Raw genomic sequence first — 19,236 nt, 5'->3', positions numbered from 1 at the left:
AATATTAAGAATCCATTGATTATTCTTATCGGATCCAATCCATACCACGATGGTTGGAAAATGATAAGTTTTCAACTCCAGTGCTCCCCTGACACTTACCAACTGGCCCTCAATATTCTGCTATTAGCAAGAGCCCTCCTCTCCCACTTATTTATCTATTTATTTTTGGTATAAACCCATGAGTTTCTTTTTTCCCAGTGATTTATACTTTATTATTGTACTCCATTATTTGATGCTCAAATCAACCTAGATTTTCCCAGTGGTAGCCCCTTCGAGTTGAATTTTTTTCCTGGTGACAGGTCATGATAGGTAGATGGATGTAGTGCTTTTTTATTTTATGGCATAACAATATATTTCAGGCTCATCTTGTGCCCATCCTGCCCCAGCTCTGAAATCAGCCATTTCAATTATATTTTTAAATTGATGTATTGTAGTTGGGTTTTTATTAAAATGGTGCATATTTATATCTGTCTCATTCTTTGTTATCAGAAAATTTTAGTAATACATTAGAGCAAAACAAAGAAGTTTCAGTGGAAAATTCTTCTAATGGCTTATTTCCCCTCAGTTCTTTGGATAGGAAGATAGGCTGTAATATGGGCTGAATTCTACTTATTGAAAATCAGTGTATTATTATCCTGCTCCTCTGAGAGCCAATGCTTGGCAGACATCCTCAAATTTTATTGTGAGTTACAATGCTGGTGATCAACTAATCCAATAAATTGCTCAGTTCTTCCAGTTCACTTAGACAAAATACGATTTTTCTTTAAAAAAATGCAAACTTGTTGGAATTCATTTCTTCATCTACAAGTATAATGATTTTGACTAATTTTACACAAAAATATTGCCAAGTGTGGGCTTCATAAATCTGTCTCACTTTGTTACTTGCTACTCTCCCCAGCTGCTTTGAACTTAGCAGAAAACTGCCAAATTAAAAAAATAATAATAATAAGCTATCATGTGCTGTAATTTCCTCTTTGGGGGCATTTTTAATTTTTGTCATTGTACATCTTGTGCTTTAAAATATATTAAATACATCTGATCCAGTGCCAAGAAACAATTATTTCCAGTGTTAAAAACAGAATTGAGAATTCAGGGGATGGGAAGTTAGAACTTGAACTCTGTCTTAGATTTTATGTGACATGTGTTAGCATCTCATCTAATTACATTCATTAGATTATTCGTCTTTAGAAACAAAATATTAATGAAAACTGAAAGGACTGAAATAACAAAAAATGGATTTTTCTGGCCTTTATATTCATACTGAATGGAAGTGTACAATTCATTGAATGATACCCAGTTAGGTTGATGGGATGGGTTTTGTGATGGAGTTAGATACATTCAACAGGATATAATAAATAAAAAACACGTAATGGGTCTGGGCATGGTGGCTAACGCTTGTAACACCAGCATTCTGGGAGGTCGAGGCAAAAGGATTGCTTTAGCTCAGGAGTTTGACACCAGCCTGGGCGACATGGTAAGACCTCATCTCTACAAAAAATGTAAAAATTAGCGAGGTATGGTGTCATATGCCTGTGGTCTCAGCTACTTCGGAGGCTGAGACAGGAGGATGGCTTCAGCCCAAGAGGTTGAGGCTGCTGTGAGCTGTGATTATGCCATTGCACTCCAGCCTGAGTGACAGAGCAAGACTCTGTCTCAAGTAAAAACAAAAACAAAAATGAAAAACAAGAAACGCATAATGGAGTGTAAACGACTAAAAGTTTAAACTGGTTACCATTGGCTCAGAGGCTCCAGCACCATAATCCACGCTATCATTTGTCTAATTATATTTCAAAACTCAGAAGGGCTGAGATGAAAGGACGGTTATTTTAAAATAATACTCTCATGAAAATATAATTTACATGCCATAAAATTTACCCTTTTAATGTGTACAATTCAGTGATTTTTTTTAGTATATTCACAAAGTTGTGCATTGATCACCACTATCTATTTGCAGAATGTTTTCATCACCCTAGAAAGAAACCCCATAGTCATTAACATTCATTCTCCTTTCCCCCTTCCCTTCAGCCCCAGCCACTGCCGGCTTACTTTATATGTGTGAATTTGTCTATTCCGAATATTTTACATAGATGCAGTTATACAATGTGTGGTGATTTACATCTGGTTCCTCTCCCTTAGCATCACGTCTCTAAGGCCCATGCATGTTGGAGGATGTGTCAGTGCCTGATTCTTTATTATGGCCAAATAATATTCCAATGTTTATATGTATTATAAATATTTTGTTTGCCGGGCACGGTGGCTCACACCTGTAATCCCAGCACTTTGGGAGGCTGAGGCAGGCAGATCACGGGGTCAAGAGATTGAGACCATCCTGGCCAACATGGTGAAACCCTGTCTCTACTAAAAATACAAAAATTAGCTGGGCATGGTGGCGTGCACCTGTAGTTCCAGCTACTCAGGAGGCTGAGGCAGGAGAATCGCTTGAACCAGGGAGGCAGAGGTTGCCGTGAGCCAAGATCACACCACTGCACTCCAGCCTGGGGACAGAGAGAGACTCCGTCTTAAAAAAAAAAAAAAAAAAAAGAACAAATATTTTATTTATCCACTCATCAGTTGATAGATATTTGGATTGTTTTTACATTAGCAATGCTGCTATGAATATTTATGTACAAGATTTTGTGTGGACATGTATTTTCAGTTCTCTTAGGTATATACTTAGGAGTGGAACTACAGGATCATACAGCAAATCTGTTTTTAACCTTTTTTTTAATTTAATTTAATTTAATTTTTTTTTTTTTTTTTGAGACGGAGTCTTACTCCATCACCCAGGCTGGAGTGCAGTGGCGCGATCATGGCTCACTTCAACCTCTGCCTCCTGGAGTCAAACAATTCTCATGCCTCAGCCTCCCGAGTAGCTGGGATTACAGGCATGCACAACCATGCCCAGCTAATTTTTTGTATTTTTAGTAGAGATGGGGTTTTACCATGCTGGTCAGGCTGCTAACCTCAAGTGATCTGCCTGCCTTTCCCTCCTAAAGTGCTGGGATCACAGGTGTGAGCCATGGCGCCCAGCCCATGTTTAACTTTTTGACAAAATCCCAAACTGTTTGTCAAAGCAGCTGTGCCATTTTACATTCCCACCATCAAAGTCTGAGCCTCCAATTTCTCCATTAACTCACTGACGCTTCTTATTATCTGTCATTTTTATTATTCCCATCCTAGCAGGTGTGAAGTGTTAACTCATTGTGGTTCTCATTTTCATTTCTCTGATGACTAACAGATGTTGAGAATCCTTGTATGTGTGTATTGACCATTTGTATGTCATCTTTAGAGAAATGTCTGTTCTAATCCTTTGCCTGAATTCAAATTGGGTTCTGTGCCTTTTCATTTTTATTTTTTTCCTGAGTTGTAAGCGTTCTTTATATGCTTTGGATACAAATCCCTTATCATATACATGACTTGCAAATCTCTTCTCCCCATCTGTGGGGTTGCCTTTTCACTGATGGTATCCTTTGTAACACAGAAGTTTTTAATTTTGATGAAGTCAAATTTATCTATTCTTCCTTTTGTTGTTTTTGGTTATGTCTAATAAACTACAGCCTAATCCACTATCACAAAGATGTACTCTTCTGTTTTCTACTAAGAGTTGTATAGTTTTAGCTCTTACATTTAGATTTTTATCTATTTTTGGTTAATTTTTGTATATAAGATAGGGATCTAACTATATTCTTTTACATGTAGGTAACACTTGTCCAGCACTATTAAAAAAAAACTATTATTTTTGTTTGTTTGTTTGTTTCTTTCTGAGATGGAGTCTCGCTCTGTCGCCCAGGCTGGAGTGCAGTGGCACAATCTCGGCTCATTGCAAGCTCCGCCTCCCGGGTTAACGCCATTCCCCTGCCTCAGCCTCCCGAGTAGTTGGGACTACAGGCGCCCACCACCGCGCCCGGCTAATTTTTTGTACTTTTTTTTTTAGTAGAGAGAGGGTTTCACCGTGTTAGCCAGGATGGTCTCGACTTCCTGACCTCGTGATCCGCCCACCTCGGCCTCCCAAAGTGCTGGGATTACAGGCGTGAGCCACTGCGCCAGGACAAAAAAAAACTATTATTTTACCCTTGAGTTGTCTTAGTACCCTCATGAGGAGAAAGCGTTTTGGTTGAGTTTGTCTCCCACAAAAATGTAGAAGACCTTTGAAATTCCTTTAAAATCCACAGTAACAAGTTTCTGGTTTCCAGAGGATTGAAAAAAAAAGGTGTTCCCTCTCCCCACTAAGAGGCTAGGTGCTGGGTGTGGTGGCTCACATCTGTGATCCTAGTACTTTGGGAGTCTGAGGAGGGAGAACTGCTTGAAGCCAGGAGTTCAATACCAGCATGGCCAACAAAGTGAGACCCCATCTCTAAAAAGAAATTTTAAAAAATTAGCCAGGCAGGGTGGTGAACCCTGTACTCCCAGCTTCTTGGGAGGCTGAGGTGGGAGAAATGCTTGAGCCCAGGAGTTTGAGGCTACAGTGAGCTATAACTGCACCACTGCACTCCAGACTGGGCAATAGAGTGAGATGCCATCTGGAAAACTAATTAATTTATTAATTCATTAATTAAATTTAAACAAAAACTTAAAAACTAATATGTTTGGATTCTTCTTTATTGAATACCTGCAACAGATTATCATTCCATCTAGGAACTTATCACAATCACTGTTGTTCTTTGGCCACTGAAGACCATGAAAAAACTTGCCCTGCCACAGAACGTGTGTTTCAAAGCTTAGCTGAGGCTCCAGAATCACAAGAAATGCCTTTATTACTGAATCACTGGATAAGATTTGGAAAAAGTGGTGCTGTCATTGACACACTATAAGACTGCAAATCTACTGTACGATCGAATGTTCAAATAAGGATGAGACACTGAAAGATTGGTGAGGCCATTCTACCTTAACCAACACTTCAATTGAGAGAGAGTCAGGTAAGGTGCCAGGTAACTTCTTTCCAGAAAGCCCATTGAAGAAAGTGAATCAAAAAGGTCAATCTGAGGATGATAAATCATTCTACTTCCTTATAGATCCGAATGCCATGATTCATAACCAATTCTTCTTTTATGTCATGTTAAACTCTCTCTCAACAACTTTACCTCTAATTCTTTGTTGAGAAAGAGCAACTCGTTTCTGGTGAACCACTTTGGAGTAGACTACTTCTAAAATAGCCCCCAGTGATCCTTGCCTTCTGGTAGGTATGTTCTTGTGTAACCCCTCACCATGGGTGGCCTAGACCTAATGACTTCCTTCTAAGTAACAAAAGTGATGGGCTATTACTTCTGAAAGTAGGTTATAAAAGGCTGTGACTTCTATCCTGCTGGCACTCTCTTGCTCTTTCTCACTTTCTCACTTTGATAAAGTCAGCTACTCTATTGTGAGCTGCCCTCTGGAGAGGCTAAGTACTAAGAAACTGTAGCTCTTAGTCCAATAGCCCAGCAGGAACTGAATTCTGCAAACAGCATTGTGAGTAAGCTTGAAAGCAGATCTTGCCCCAGTTACGCCTTGAGATGACCGCAGCCTTGGCTGATACCTTGATTGCAGCCTTGTATGAATCCCTGGGCTGGAGGATCCAGTCAAGCCATTCCCAGATTCCTGATCTACACAAACTGTGTGAAAATACATATTCTTGTAATCCACTAACTTCAGGGATGATTTATTACATAGCAATAGATAACAATACATGATATTACTTGATCCACTGTTTTCTATTCTGTGCCCCAGTTCCTCAGCAAACTGCAAGTGATATCAAATAAACGCTTCCTAAATCCTGGGTTTTCAAATCCTTTCTTGAAACTGTATCTTTCCAACCTCTCATCAATGTTCAATTACTGGACCATTCTAACCCTACTCGCTCCTACTCAGTGTCAATGAAAAGTCTCATTTTCACTGCATCATCTGGATGTTCATTGTCTCACCACTAAATTGCACCTTTCTTCTCACAAACTCCTTCAATTTCCTAGTGTTAACCAAAACCAGGTTTCTTCAAAACCATATCAAAGCCTTCTTCAACGGAGAACATTCCTGCTGTCATCCGCTGCCCAACCCAGCATCCTGCTCTGTGTTTTTGCCATTTACTAATCATGGGAACTCGAGTCATTATTAAAGCCCTCAAAACCTCAATATCTTCATTTCTTAAATGGGGATAAGATCTAACTCACTGAATTGTTGGAAAATTAGTAAAATGGTGTAGGCAAAAGTGCCTGACATTGCTCATCTCTCAGCACATACCCGATTGATAATTGGTTTTTTTCTTTCCTGATATCCATTTCTCATTCATTTATGTAATAGTTTCTTACAGACTGTATTATGGACCTGTTTTTTTAGGCAGGTCCTGGTGATACAGAGATGAAGATACTCACCATCTTGAAGATACTCATCATCTGCCAGGGGATACAGCACTTTTATTGAAGTTATTGGTTGGTCCATGATGGACGCTCATATTCTGGGAAAACAAAAACAGGGTACTTCATTATCCCAACAACTCTTTAGTAATTCATGCCACTTACTTATGTCTGCCTCTTTTTTTCATCTTTATTATAATCTACAGAATTCCACAACATTTTTCATCTCTCACTCTCCAACTTTTGGCTTGGAGTCTTTATTTCCACTCTCATCTGGCCATTACTCCCTAATACAATCAGCTACCATGTTAAAATTATTTTAACATAATGATTCTCACAATTCCCAAACAAATCTTATTATTAGATCCCAAAGATCTAATTAATTCATTAATTATTATTAGATCCCAAAGATCTAATAATAATCCTACCTTTAGTATTGATTAATATGGCTATCTTCACTCTTCTCCCTTAGACCTCATCATCTTTATTCAAATCTACCTCTTCTTGCACTTGCTGTGTCTTCTAGAACATTTTTTCCTTCCCTATTTCTTGACTAATTCCTAATCATTCTGTCAGTCCTTGCCCTCCACTATATGACCCCAGCTAATCACCAAATCAATCATTGTTTCCCTACAGACACCTGATGCTTCAGGTCATTGTACCATTCCTGGTTCCCAGAGACAATGCATACCATCCTCCTTCTAAAATTACGTTCAATCATTTGCTCCATGAAGGATGCCTTCTCCCCTCAACCAATATTAATCCATCAGAATCTCAATCATCCTTCAAGGTCCATCACAGACACCCATGATGTTTTTCTTGTTTTAAATGCTTGTGCTCTTTCTTTTAACTTTCAAGGATGTTTACAACACTTTTTTTTACAGTATTTAAACTACATTCTTGAGGCTCGTGTGGTAATTTTATAGTTACATGTTTATTGTTTAAAGTATATCTCCTAATGTTTGTTGTTGTTGTTGTTGTTTTTGAGACAGAATCTCGCTCTGTTTCCCAAACTGGAGTGCAGTGGATCCATCTTGGCAAGGGTGACACCTCCCAGGCTCATGAGATTCTCATACCTCAGCCTCCTGAGTAGCTGGGATTACAGGCACACACTAATGCACCCAACTAATTTTTGCATTTTTATTTATTAAGTTTTTTTCTTTTTTTGAGACGGAGTCTCACTTTGTCACCCAGGCTGAAGTGCAGTGGCATGATCTCGGCTCACTGCAAGCTCCACCTCCCAGGTTCACACCATTCTCCTGCCTCAGCCTCCCAAATAGCTGGGGCTATAGGCACCTGCCACCACACCCGGCTAATTTTTTGTATTTTTAGTAGAGATGGGGTTTTACCATGTTGGCCAGGCTGATCTCGAACTCCTGACCCCAAGTGATCCACCTGCCTCAGCTTCCCCAAGTGTTGGAATTACAGATGTGAGCCACTGCACCCGACTGAAAGTACATACCCTAATGTTTGAAAGCCAAAATGATGTCTGTGGCAGCATGAGAATGTTCCTCACAGATCTTCCAAGACAGGAGGATAATAGAACAAGCTCTGGAATCCAGCATCAGGTTTGTGCCAAGGGTATACCTCCCATAGGCTGCTCCTGGCCAATGACTGATTGTATCAAGGCTAACCCATTCTTAGGACACAAAGGCTCTCCTCTGATGGCCAGCTTTGATTTAGGACCCCCCAGGGGCACTACTGAACTTCCCTCAGAAGGAGGGGGATATCCATTCAGGGTCACACTTGCTTCTCAGGGTCACACTTGCTTCACACTGTGAAGGCTCTCCAAGTCTATCTCAGTCCCCTCCCCATTTTCCTTCATATGGCATTTTCCCAGATGTTTCCAGCTGTTTCCCCACATGTTTAATCCAGTCTTGGCATCTACTTCCCAGAAGACCTGGAATAACAAAAGTGGTGCCAGGAGTGATCCTCAGAAACAGGCAATGAGTTGAGGATTAGAACTGGCTAACCACCACCCAGCAGAGGAAGAAGACAGCACCCCAGTTGGAAGGAGGGGCATGGATAGTCGCTGGCATGAGGTAGCCCACCATTCCTCTAATAAGGACTAGCATTTCCCACTGCAGATGCCCCTCTCCCATAAAACAACACATGCCAGTGGTAAATGAAATAATAGCCCCACGCCCTCCACCACCCTGCCACACACACAAAAAGATGTCAGGTCCTAATTTCTATAATCTCTGAATATGTTACGTTACATGGCAGAAAGGACCTTGCACAAGTAATTAATTAGAATACTGCGGTATGAAGATTATCCTGGATTATTTGGGTGGGCTCAAAGCATTCTAAACACTGATGAAAACAATTGAAGACGATGCAAACAAATGAAAAGACATTCCATGCTCATGGGTTGGCATAATTGATATTGTTAAGATGACCATACTTTCCAAAACAATCTACACATTGAATGAAATTCCTATCAAAATACTAGTGTCATTATTAACAGAAATAGAAAGAAAATCCTAAAATTCATATGCAATCAAAAAAGAGCCAGAACAGCCACAGCAATCCTGCATAAAAAGAACAAAGCTGGAGGCCTTACACTGCGTGACTTCAAAATATATTACAAAACTATAGTAACCAAAAAAGCATGGTATTGTTATAAAAATAGATACTTAAACCAGTGCAACAGAACCCAGAAATAAATCCACACATTTATAGTCAACTGATCTTTTGATAAAGCCATCAAGAACAGACACTGGAAAAGGACACCCTCTTCAATAAGTGATTCTAGGAAAACTGGATAATCATATACAGAAGAATGAAACTGGACCCCTATCTCTCACCATATACAAAAATCAACTCAAGATGGACTAAAGACTTAAACATAAGACCTGAAATTATAAAACTATTAAAAGGATATTGATCTAGGCAGAGGATTAATGGCTGAGACCACAAAAGCATAGGCAACTAAAACAAAAATAGGCAAATGGAACTACATTAAACTAAACAGCTTCTATACAGCAAAGAAAATAGTCAACAGAGTGAAGAGGCAACCTCTTGGATGGGAGAAAATATTTGTAAACTACTCATTCGACAGGGAATTAATATCCAGAGTATACAAGGAACTCAAACAACTCAACAGTTTTAAAAAAATCCCATTTAAAAATGAGCAAAGGACATGAATAGACCTTTCTCAAACGAAGACATACAAATAGCCAACATGTATATGAAAAAATGTTCAACATCATTAATTATCAGAGAAATGCAAACCAAAACCACAGTGAGATAACTTACCCCAGTTAGAATGGCTGTTACCAAAAGACAAAACATAACAGATACTGATGAGATTACAGAGAAAAGGGAAAAGGGAGCTCTTATACACTGTTAGTGGAAATGTAAGTTAATACAGCCACTATGGAAAACAGTATGAAGATTCTCAAAAAAATTAAAATAGAATTGCTATATAACCCAGAAGTCTCACTGTTAGGTATTTATCCAAAGGCAAAGAAATCAATATATCAAAGTGATTACCACACTGCCATATTTGTTACAGCACTATTCACAATAGCAAAGATATGGAATCAACGTAACTGTCCATCAATGGATGAATGGGTAAAAACAAAAAAACAAAAAATCTGTGGTATATATACACAATGAAATATTATTTAGCAATAAAAAAGGATGAAATAATATCATTTTCAGCAAGACGGGTGGAACTTGAGGTTAATATGCTAAGTGAAATAAGCCAGGCACAGAAGACAAGTATTCCATATTCTAATTCCTATGTGAGAGCTAAAAAAAAAAAAAATGATCATATAGAGGTAGTGAGTGGAATAATAGATAACAGAGACCGGAAAGGGTGTATGTGTAGAAGAGGGAATGAAGAGAGTTGGTTAATGGGTACAAACACAGTTAGATAGAAGAAATACATTCAATCTTTGATAGAAAAGCAGCGTGGCTATAATTAACAACACTGTATTATACTTTTCAAAATAGCCAGAAGAGGACTTGAAATGTACCCAACACATGAAAATGCTAAATCCTTAGGTGATGAATACCCTGAATACCCTGAATTGATCATTACCCATTCTATGCATATAACAAAATTTCACATGTACCCCATAAATATGTACAAATATAATGCATCAAAAAGTATTTAAATATAAAAAAAGTTCTTGTAAGAGGAAGGCAGTAGGGTCAGTGTCAGAGAGGAAGGCACAACAATGAAAGCAGAAGTCAGAGAGAGAGAGAGAGAATGGAGATGCTATGTTGCAGGACTTGAAGGTGGAGGAAGAAGCCATAACTCAAAAAAGGCAAGTGGCTTCCAGGAGTTAGAAAATTCAAAGAAACAACTTCTCTCTGGCTAGCATCTTGATTTTAGAACTTCTGACTTTCAGAACTAAAAGACAAAATATTTGTATTATTGTATGTCACGAAGCCTGTGGTAATTTATTTATTTTTTTTAATTTTTTTTTTTTTTGAGACAGAGTCTCACACTGTTGACAAGCTGGAGTGCAGTGGCGTGATCTCGGCTCACTGCAACCTCCGCCTCCCAGATTCAAGCAATTCTCCTGCCTCAGCCTCCTGTGTAGCTGGGACTAAAGGCATGCACCACCACGCCCAGCTAATTTTTGTATTTTTAGTAGAGACAGGGTTTCAACATGTTGGCCAGGATGGTCTCAATCTCTTGACCTCGTGATCCACCTGCCAAAGTGGCCTGTGGTAATTTATTACAGCAACCACGGGAAACTAATACAGTGCCCCACTCAGGAGCTGCCACATCTTCTCTTCTGCCTTCCGGACTGCTAAATAGGGAAAAATTTCATCATAACCAGGCTAGGGATATGCTGAGTCTGATAGGAGCAGAAAGCAATTATATGCCTAAAAGACTACATCCCTAAGAACTGGCAGGAGTCAGGGAAGTTCTCCTGTGATTTGAATTTGAGGATGCTTGATCAAGGAGACAAAAACGTAAAGCTGGATAAGCAAGATTTCATTGAATTAGAAGTATTTTATTTAACACAGTTTAATGTTCTAGCAAGGTATGGAGGGAATGAGACAAACTCATTGCTACTGTGGCTCTTAGAAACCTGGAAAAAAACAATGGTCAGCTTTCAGCAATGTAGAAATGCCTGCATTTCCCTAGCAGGTGATAGAGGAAGAAATAAAGGAGCTAAGGGAATATACTTGCTAAAATGGATAAATGACATGAGTCTAGAAGGTCCAACAGATAAGCATGTTCCATGGGAAGCCCAGAGAACACAGATAGCTTTCACCAAGATCGTCAGGAATGCACTGGTGACGAGGGGACAGACTGCCATCACTAAGAAGTTCAAAGGCAGTTTCTTCGCAGACTAGGGTTGAAGGGAGGTGAGGCAGTCACAGGTCTTAGCTTAGTAGCATGCATGGGAAGGATGGGACTGTGTAGAGGACTACGTTAGCACGTTCCATAACAACACTGAGGGTCTGATCTATAGTTTCGGGAATGGGGCTTCAAAGAAGGTGAGTTCAATCTATCAATAAGAAATGTAGCTAAAAAAAAAGGTTTCTATTTCACCCATCCTTTAGTAATACACCACTGTGTTCACTTCAGTAAAGTTTTCATAACACATCTAAAGCCTCTGTGAGGCTCAGAAATATTTGTGAAACAAAATTCTGGAACCGCAAATAAAATGTTAAATGGTTGCTTTAAATAGAAAATAACATATCTGGAAAATTTTCCTGTAACTGTGTGCTTTAATCAGCCTTTCCTTTTCTAAGCATTATATGTTTAAGTAATAAGCAATAGAAATATACTTTAACTAGGCTGGGATCAGTGGCTCACACCTGTAATCCCAGCACTTTGGGAAGCCAAGGCGGGTGGATCACCTGAGGTCAGGAGTTCAAGACCAGCCTGGCAAACATGGTGAAACCCCATCTCTACTAAAAATACCAGAAATTACCCAGGCATAGTGGCAGTTGCCTGTAATCCCAGGTACTCAGGAGGCTGAGACAGGAGAATCACTTGAACCCAGGAAGCAGAGGTTGCAGTGAGCCCAGATGGCACCGTTGCACTCCAGCCTAAGCAACAAGAGTGAAACTCCATCTCAAAAAAAAAAGAAGACGAAATATACTTTAATCTTTGGCAGTCAAATATTATGTCCTGTAGCCAGATCATAATCAATATATACAAATGTCTTGGAAGTTATATAGTGTGTAATCATAATATGTTGGTTTGACATCTCATATCTCATCAAAGAGGATGCCTACCTGCAATGCTCTCTTCAGTACCAGAAGCTGAAAGGTCAGATACTTCATCTTGTCCAGAGGCCTCATGGTTTAATGGGGAAAAAAAAGGGGGGGTGGGGTTTGGAGTCCTACAAAAAAAGATATGAATGTCAACTCTGCCACTTCCTAGTTTTGTCAACCTGGACATGTTTATTAACTTCTCTCACCTCTGTTTAATCATCTATAAATAGGAAATAGACACAGGCTTCTTGCAAACAATATATGAGATAATATCAACTGATACCTGGTCAACAAATGCTAATTCTGTTCCAAACCCCACCCTCTCTCCTTCAGTTTTCTTTCTTAAGCATCTCTGTGCCCCATGGTATTTAGCCTTATAATGATAGATTGTGAGGAAATGGACTAGAATAGATACATAGCCCCATCTTTGAAAGCCACTTCCATTCACAATGGTCAGAAAATATTGAATTTAAAGAAAAGAGGGGGCAGCCAAGAAGGCTAAATAGGAACAGCTCCAGTCTACAGCTCCCAGTGTGAGCGACGCAGAAGATGGGTGATTTCTGCATTTCCATCTGAGGTACCAGGTTCATCTCACTAGGGAGTGCCAGACAGTGGGCGCAGGACAGTGGTTGCAGTGCACCATGCATGAGCCAAAGCAGGGTGAAGCATTGACTCACTCAGGAAGTGCAAGGGTTCAGGGAGTTCCCTTTCCTAGTCAAAGAAAGGGGTGACAGATGGCACCTGGAAAATTGGGTCACTCCTATCCTAATACTGTGCTTTTCTGACGGGCTTAAAAAACCACGGACCAGGAGATTATATCCCGCACCTGGCTTGGAGGGTTCTACGCCCTCGGAGTCTCGCTGATTGCTAGCACAGCAGTCTGAGATCAAACTGCAAGGCAGCAGCGAGGCTGGGGGACGGGTGCGCCATTGCCCAGGCTTGCTTAGGTAAACAAAGCAGCCGAGAAGCTCGAACTGGGTGGAGCTCGCCACAGCTCAAGGAGGCCTGCCTGCCTCTGTAGGCTCCACCTCTGGGGGCAGGGCACAGACAAACAAAAAGACAGCAGTAACCTCTGCAGACTTAAATGTCCCTGTCTGACAGCTTTGAAGAGAGCAGTGGTTCTCCCAGCACATAGCTGGAGATCTGAGAACGGGCAGACTGCCTCCTCAAGTGGGTCCCTGACCCCTGACCCCCGAGCAGCCTAACTGGCAGGCACCCCCCAGTAGGGGCAGACTGACACCTCACACGGCCGGGTACTCTTCTGAGACAAAACGTCCAGAGGAACGATCAGACAGCAGCATTCGCGGTTCACGAAAATCTGCTGTTCTGCAGCCACCGCTGCTGATACCCAGGCAAACAGGGTCTGGAGTGGACCTCTAGCAAACTCCAACAGACCTGCAGCTGAGGGTCCTGTCTGTTAGAAGGAAAACTAACAAACAGAAAGGACATCCACACCAAAAACCCATCCGTACATCACCATCATCAAAGACCAAAAGTAGATAAAACCACAAAGATGGGGAAAAAACAGAGCAGAAAAACTGGAAACTCTAAAAAGCAGAGTGCCTCTCCTCCTCCAAAGGAACGCAGTTCCTCACCAGCAACGCAGCAAAGCTGGATGGAGAATGACTTTGACGAGCTGAGAGAAGAAGGCTTCAGATGCTCAAACTACTCTGAGCTACAGGAGGAAATTCAAACCAAAGGCAAAGAAGTTAAAAACTGAAAAAAAAATTTAGACGAATGTATAACTAGAATAATCAATACAGAGAAGTGCTTAAAGGAGCTGATGGAGCTGAAAGCCAAGGCTCGAGAACTAAGTGAAGAATGCAGAAGCCTCAGGAGCTGATGTGATCAACTGGAAGAAAGGGTATCAGTGATGGAAGTTGAAATGAATAAAATGAAGCGAGAAGGGAAGTTTAGAGAAAAAAGAATAAAAAGAAACGAACAAAGCCTTCAAGAAATATGGGACTATGTGAAAAGACCAAATCTACATCTGATTGGTGTACGTGAAAGTGACAGGGAGAATGGAACCAAGTTGGAAAACACTCTGCAGGATATTATCCAGGAGAACTTCCCCAATCTAGCAAGGCAGGCCAACAATCAGATTCAGGAAATACAGAGAACGCCACAAAGATACTCCTCGAGAAGAGCAACTCCAAGACACATAATTGTCAGATTCACCAAAGTTGAAATGAAGGAAAAAATGTTAAGGGCAGCCAGAGAGAAAGGTCGGGTTACCCACAAAGGGAAGCCCATCAGACTAACAGCGGATCTCTCGGCAGAAACTCTACAAGCCAGAAGAGAGTGAGGGCCAATATTCAACATTCTTAAAGAAAAGAATTTTCAACCCAGAATTTCATATCCAGCCAAACTAAGCTTCATAAGTGAAGGAGAAATAAAATACTTTACAGACAAGCAAATGCTGAGAGATTTTGTCACCACAAGGCCTGCCCTAAAAGAGCTCCTGAAGGAAGCACTAAACATGGAAAGGAACAACCGGTACCAGCCGCTGCAAAATCATGCCAAAATGTAAAGACCATCGAGACTAGGAAGAAACTGCATCAACTAACGAGCAAAATAACCAGCTAACATCATAATGACAGGATCAAATTCACACATAACAATATTAACTTTAAATGTAAATGGACTAAATGCTCCAATTAAAAGACACAGACTGGCAAATTGGATAAAGAGTCAAGACCCATCAGTGTGCTGTATTCAGGAAACCCATCTCACATGCAGAGACCCACATAGGCTCAAAATAAAAGGATGGAGGAAGATCTACCAAGCAAATGGAAAACAAAAAAAGGCAGGGGTTGCAATCCTAGTCTCTGATAAAACAGACTTTAAACCAACAAAGATCAAAAGAGACAAAGAAGGCCATTACATAATGGTAAAGGGATCAATTCAACAAGAAGAGCTAACTATCCTAAATATATATGCACCCAATACAGGAGCACCCAGATTCATAAAGCAAGTCCTGAGTGACCTACAAAGAGACTTAGACTCCCACACATTAATAGTGGGAGACTTTAACACCCCACTGTCAACATTAGACAGATCAACGAGACAGAAAGTTAACAAGGATACCCAGGAATTGAACTCAGCTCTGCACCAAGCGGACCTAATAGACATCTACAGAACTCTCCAGCCCAAATCAACAGAATATACATTTTTTTCAGCACCACACCACACCTATTCCAAAATTGACCACATACTTGGAAGTAAAGCTCTCCTCAGCAAATGTAAAAGAACAGAAATTATAACAAACTGTCTCTCAGACCACAGTGCAATCAAACTAGAACTCAGGATTAAGAAACTCACTCAAAACCGCTCAACTACATGGAAACTGAACAACCTGCTCCTGAATGACTACTGGGTACATAACGAAATGAAGGCAGAAATAAAGATGTTCTTTGAAACCAATGAGAACAAAGACACAACGTACCAGAATCTCTGGGACGCATTCAAAGCAGTGTGTAGAGGGAAATTCATAGCACTAAATGCCCACAAGAGAAAGCAGGAAAGATCCAAAACTGACACCCTAACATCACAATTAAAAGAACTAGAAAAGCAAGAGCAAACACATTCAAAAGCTAGCAGAAGGCAAGAAATAACTAAAATCAGAGCAGAACTGAAGGAAACAGACACACAAAAAACCCTTCAAAACATTAATGAATGCAGGAGCTGGTTTTTTGAAAGGATCAACAAAATTGATAGACTGCTAGCAAGATTAATAAAGAAAAAAGAGAGAAGAATCAAATAGATGCAATAAAAAATGATAAAGGGGATATCACCACTGATCCCACAGAAATACAAACTGCCATCAGAGAATACTACAAACAACTCTACGCAAATAAACTAGAAAATCTAGAAGAAATGGATAAATTCCTCGACACATACACTCTCCCAAGACTAAACCAGGAAGAAGTTGAATCTCTGAATAGACCAATAACAGGATCTGAAATTTTGGCAATAATCAATAGCTTACCAACCAAAAAGAGTCCAGGACCAGATGGATTCACAGCCAAATTCTACCAGAGGTACAAGGAGGAACTGGTACCATTCCTTCTGAAACTATTCCAATCAATAGAAAAAGAGGAAATCCTCCCTAACTCATTTTATGAGGCCAGCATGCATCATCCTGATACCAAAGCTGGGCAGAGACACAACCAAAAAAGAGAATTTTAGACCAATATCCTTGATGAACATTGATGCAAAAATCCTCAATAAAATACTGGCGAACCAAATCCAGCAGCACATCAAAAAGCTTATCCACCATGATCAAGTGGGCTTCATCCCTGGGATGCAAGGCTGGTTCAACATACTCAAATCAATAAATGTAATCCAGCATATAAACAGAACCAAAGACAAAAACCACATGATTATCTCAATAGATGCAGAAAAGGCCTTTGACAAAATTCAACAACCCTTCATGCTAAAAAACTCTCAATAAATTAGGTATTGATGGGACATATCTCAAAATAATAAGAGCTGTCTATGACAAACCCACAGCCAATATCATACTGAATGGGCAAAAACTGGAAGCATTCCCTTTGAAAACTGGCACAAGACAGGGATGCCCTCTCTCACCACTCCTATTCAACATGGTGTTGGAAGTTCTGGCCAGGGCAATTAGGCAGGAGAAGGAAATAAAGGGTATTCAATTAGGAAAAGAGGAAGTCAAATTGTCCCTGTTTGCAGATGACGTGATTGTATATCTAGAAAACCCAACTGTGTCAGCCCAAAATCTCCTTAAGCTGATAAGCAACTTCAGCAAAGTCTCAGGATACAAAATCATTGTACAAAAATCACAAGCATTCTTATACACCAATAACAGACAAACAGAGAGCCAAATCATCAGTGAACTCCCATTCACAATTGCTTCAAAGAGAATACCTAGGAATCCAATTTACAAGGGACATGAAGGACCTCTTCAAGGAGAACTACAAACCACTGCTCAATGAAATAAAAGAGGATACAAACAAATGGAAGAACATTCCATGCTCATGGGTAGGAAGAATCAATATCATGAAAATGGCCATACTGCCCAAGGTAATTTATAGATTCAATGCCATCCCCATCAAGCTACCAATGACTTTCTTCACAGAATTGGAAAAAACTACTTTAAAGTTCATATGGAACCAAAAAAGAGCTCGCATCGCCAAGTCAATCCTAAGCCAAAAGAACAAAGCTGGAGGCATCATGCTACCTGACTTCAAACTATACTACAAGGCTACAGTAACCAAAACAGCATGGTACTGGTACCAAAACAGAGATATAGATCAATGGAACAGAACAGAGCCCTCAGAAATAACGCCGCATATCTACAACTATCTGATCTTTGACAAACCTGAGAAAAACAAGCAATGGGGAAAGGATTCCCTATTTAATAAATGGTGCTGGGAAAACTGGCTAGCCATATGTAGAAAGCTGAAACTGGATCCCTTCCTTACACCTTATACAAAAATTAATTCAAGATGGATTAAAGACTTAAACGTTAGACCTAAAACCATAAAAACCCTAGAAGAAAACCTAGGCATTACCATTCAGGACATAGGCATTGGCAAAGACTTCATGTCTAAAACACCAAAAGCAATGGCAACAAAAGACAAAATTGACAAATGGGATCTAATTAAACTAAAGAGCTTCTGCACAGCAAAAGAAACTACCATCAGAGTGAACAGGCAACCTACAGAATGGGAGAAAATTTTCACAACCTACTCATCTGACAAAGGGCTAATATCCAGAATCTACAATGAACTCAAACAAATTTACAAGAAAAAAACAAACAACCCCATCAAAAAGTGGGCAAAGGACATGAACAGTCACTTCTCAAAAGAAGACATTTATGCAGCCAAAAGACACATGAAAAAATGCCCATCATCACTGGCCATCAGAGAAATGCAAATCAAAACCACAATGAGATACCATCTCACACCAGTTAGAATGGCAATCATTAAAAAGTCAGGAAACAACAGGTGCTGGAGAGGATGTGGAGAAACAGGAACACTTTTACACTGTTGGTGGGACTGTAAACTAGTTCAACCATTGTGGAAGTCAGTGTGGCGATTCCTCAGGGATCTAGAACTAGAAATACCATTTGACCCAGCCATCCCATTACTGGGTATATACCCAAAGGACTATAAATCATGCTGCTATAAAGACACATGCACACATATGTTTATTGTGGCACTATTCACAATAGCAAACACTTGGAACCAACCCAAATGTCCAACAATGATAGACTGGATTAAGAAAATGTGGCACATATACACCATGGAATACTATGCAGCCATAAAAAATGATGAGTTCATGTCCTTTGTAGGGACATGGATGAAATTGGAAATCATCATTCTCAGTAAACTATCGCAAGGACAAAAAACCAAACACTGCATGTTCTCACTCCTAGGTGGGAATTGAACAATGAGAACACATGGACACAGGAAGGGGAACATCACACTCTGGGGACTGTTGTGGGGTGGGGGGAGGGGGGAGGGATAGCATTAGGAGATATACCTAATGCTAAATGATGAGTTAATGGGTGCAGCGCACCAGCATGGCACATGTATACATATGTAACTAACCTGCACATTGTGTACATGTACCCTAAAACTTAAAGTATAATAATAATAAAATTAAAAAAATGATTATAAAAAAAAAGGAAAAAAAAACTGACCTCTTTTACCTAAAGGTTTTTTATTTTTCCCCCACAAGGTCA

General features: G+C 40.0%; 1 long non-coding RNA gene across 2 annotated transcripts in view; it reads right to left on the bottom strand.

Annotated features, from left to right (window-relative positions):
- The window catches only part of LINC01483 (long intergenic non-protein coding RNA 1483), a 309,014-nt gene that overhangs the window by 271,904 nt on the left and 17,874 nt on the right, over nucleotides 1–19,236 (bottom strand). For both annotated transcript variants that reach the window (NR_109971.1, NR_109972.1), the window contains exon 3: nucleotides 6,345–6,427. This is a non-coding gene — a long non-coding RNA (long intergenic non-protein coding RNA 1483). The remainder of the gene's footprint in view (nucleotides 1–6,344; nucleotides 6,428–19,236) is intronic.

Source organism: Homo sapiens, chromosome 17, assembly GCF_000001405.40.
Source record: "Homo sapiens chromosome 17, GRCh38.p14 Primary Assembly".
NCBI classification, from domain to species: Eukaryota; Metazoa; Chordata; class Mammalia; order Primates; family Hominidae; genus Homo; species Homo sapiens.
Note: the sequence above shows the minus strand (reverse complement) of the source record. Positions and strands in the feature narration are given on the sequence as shown.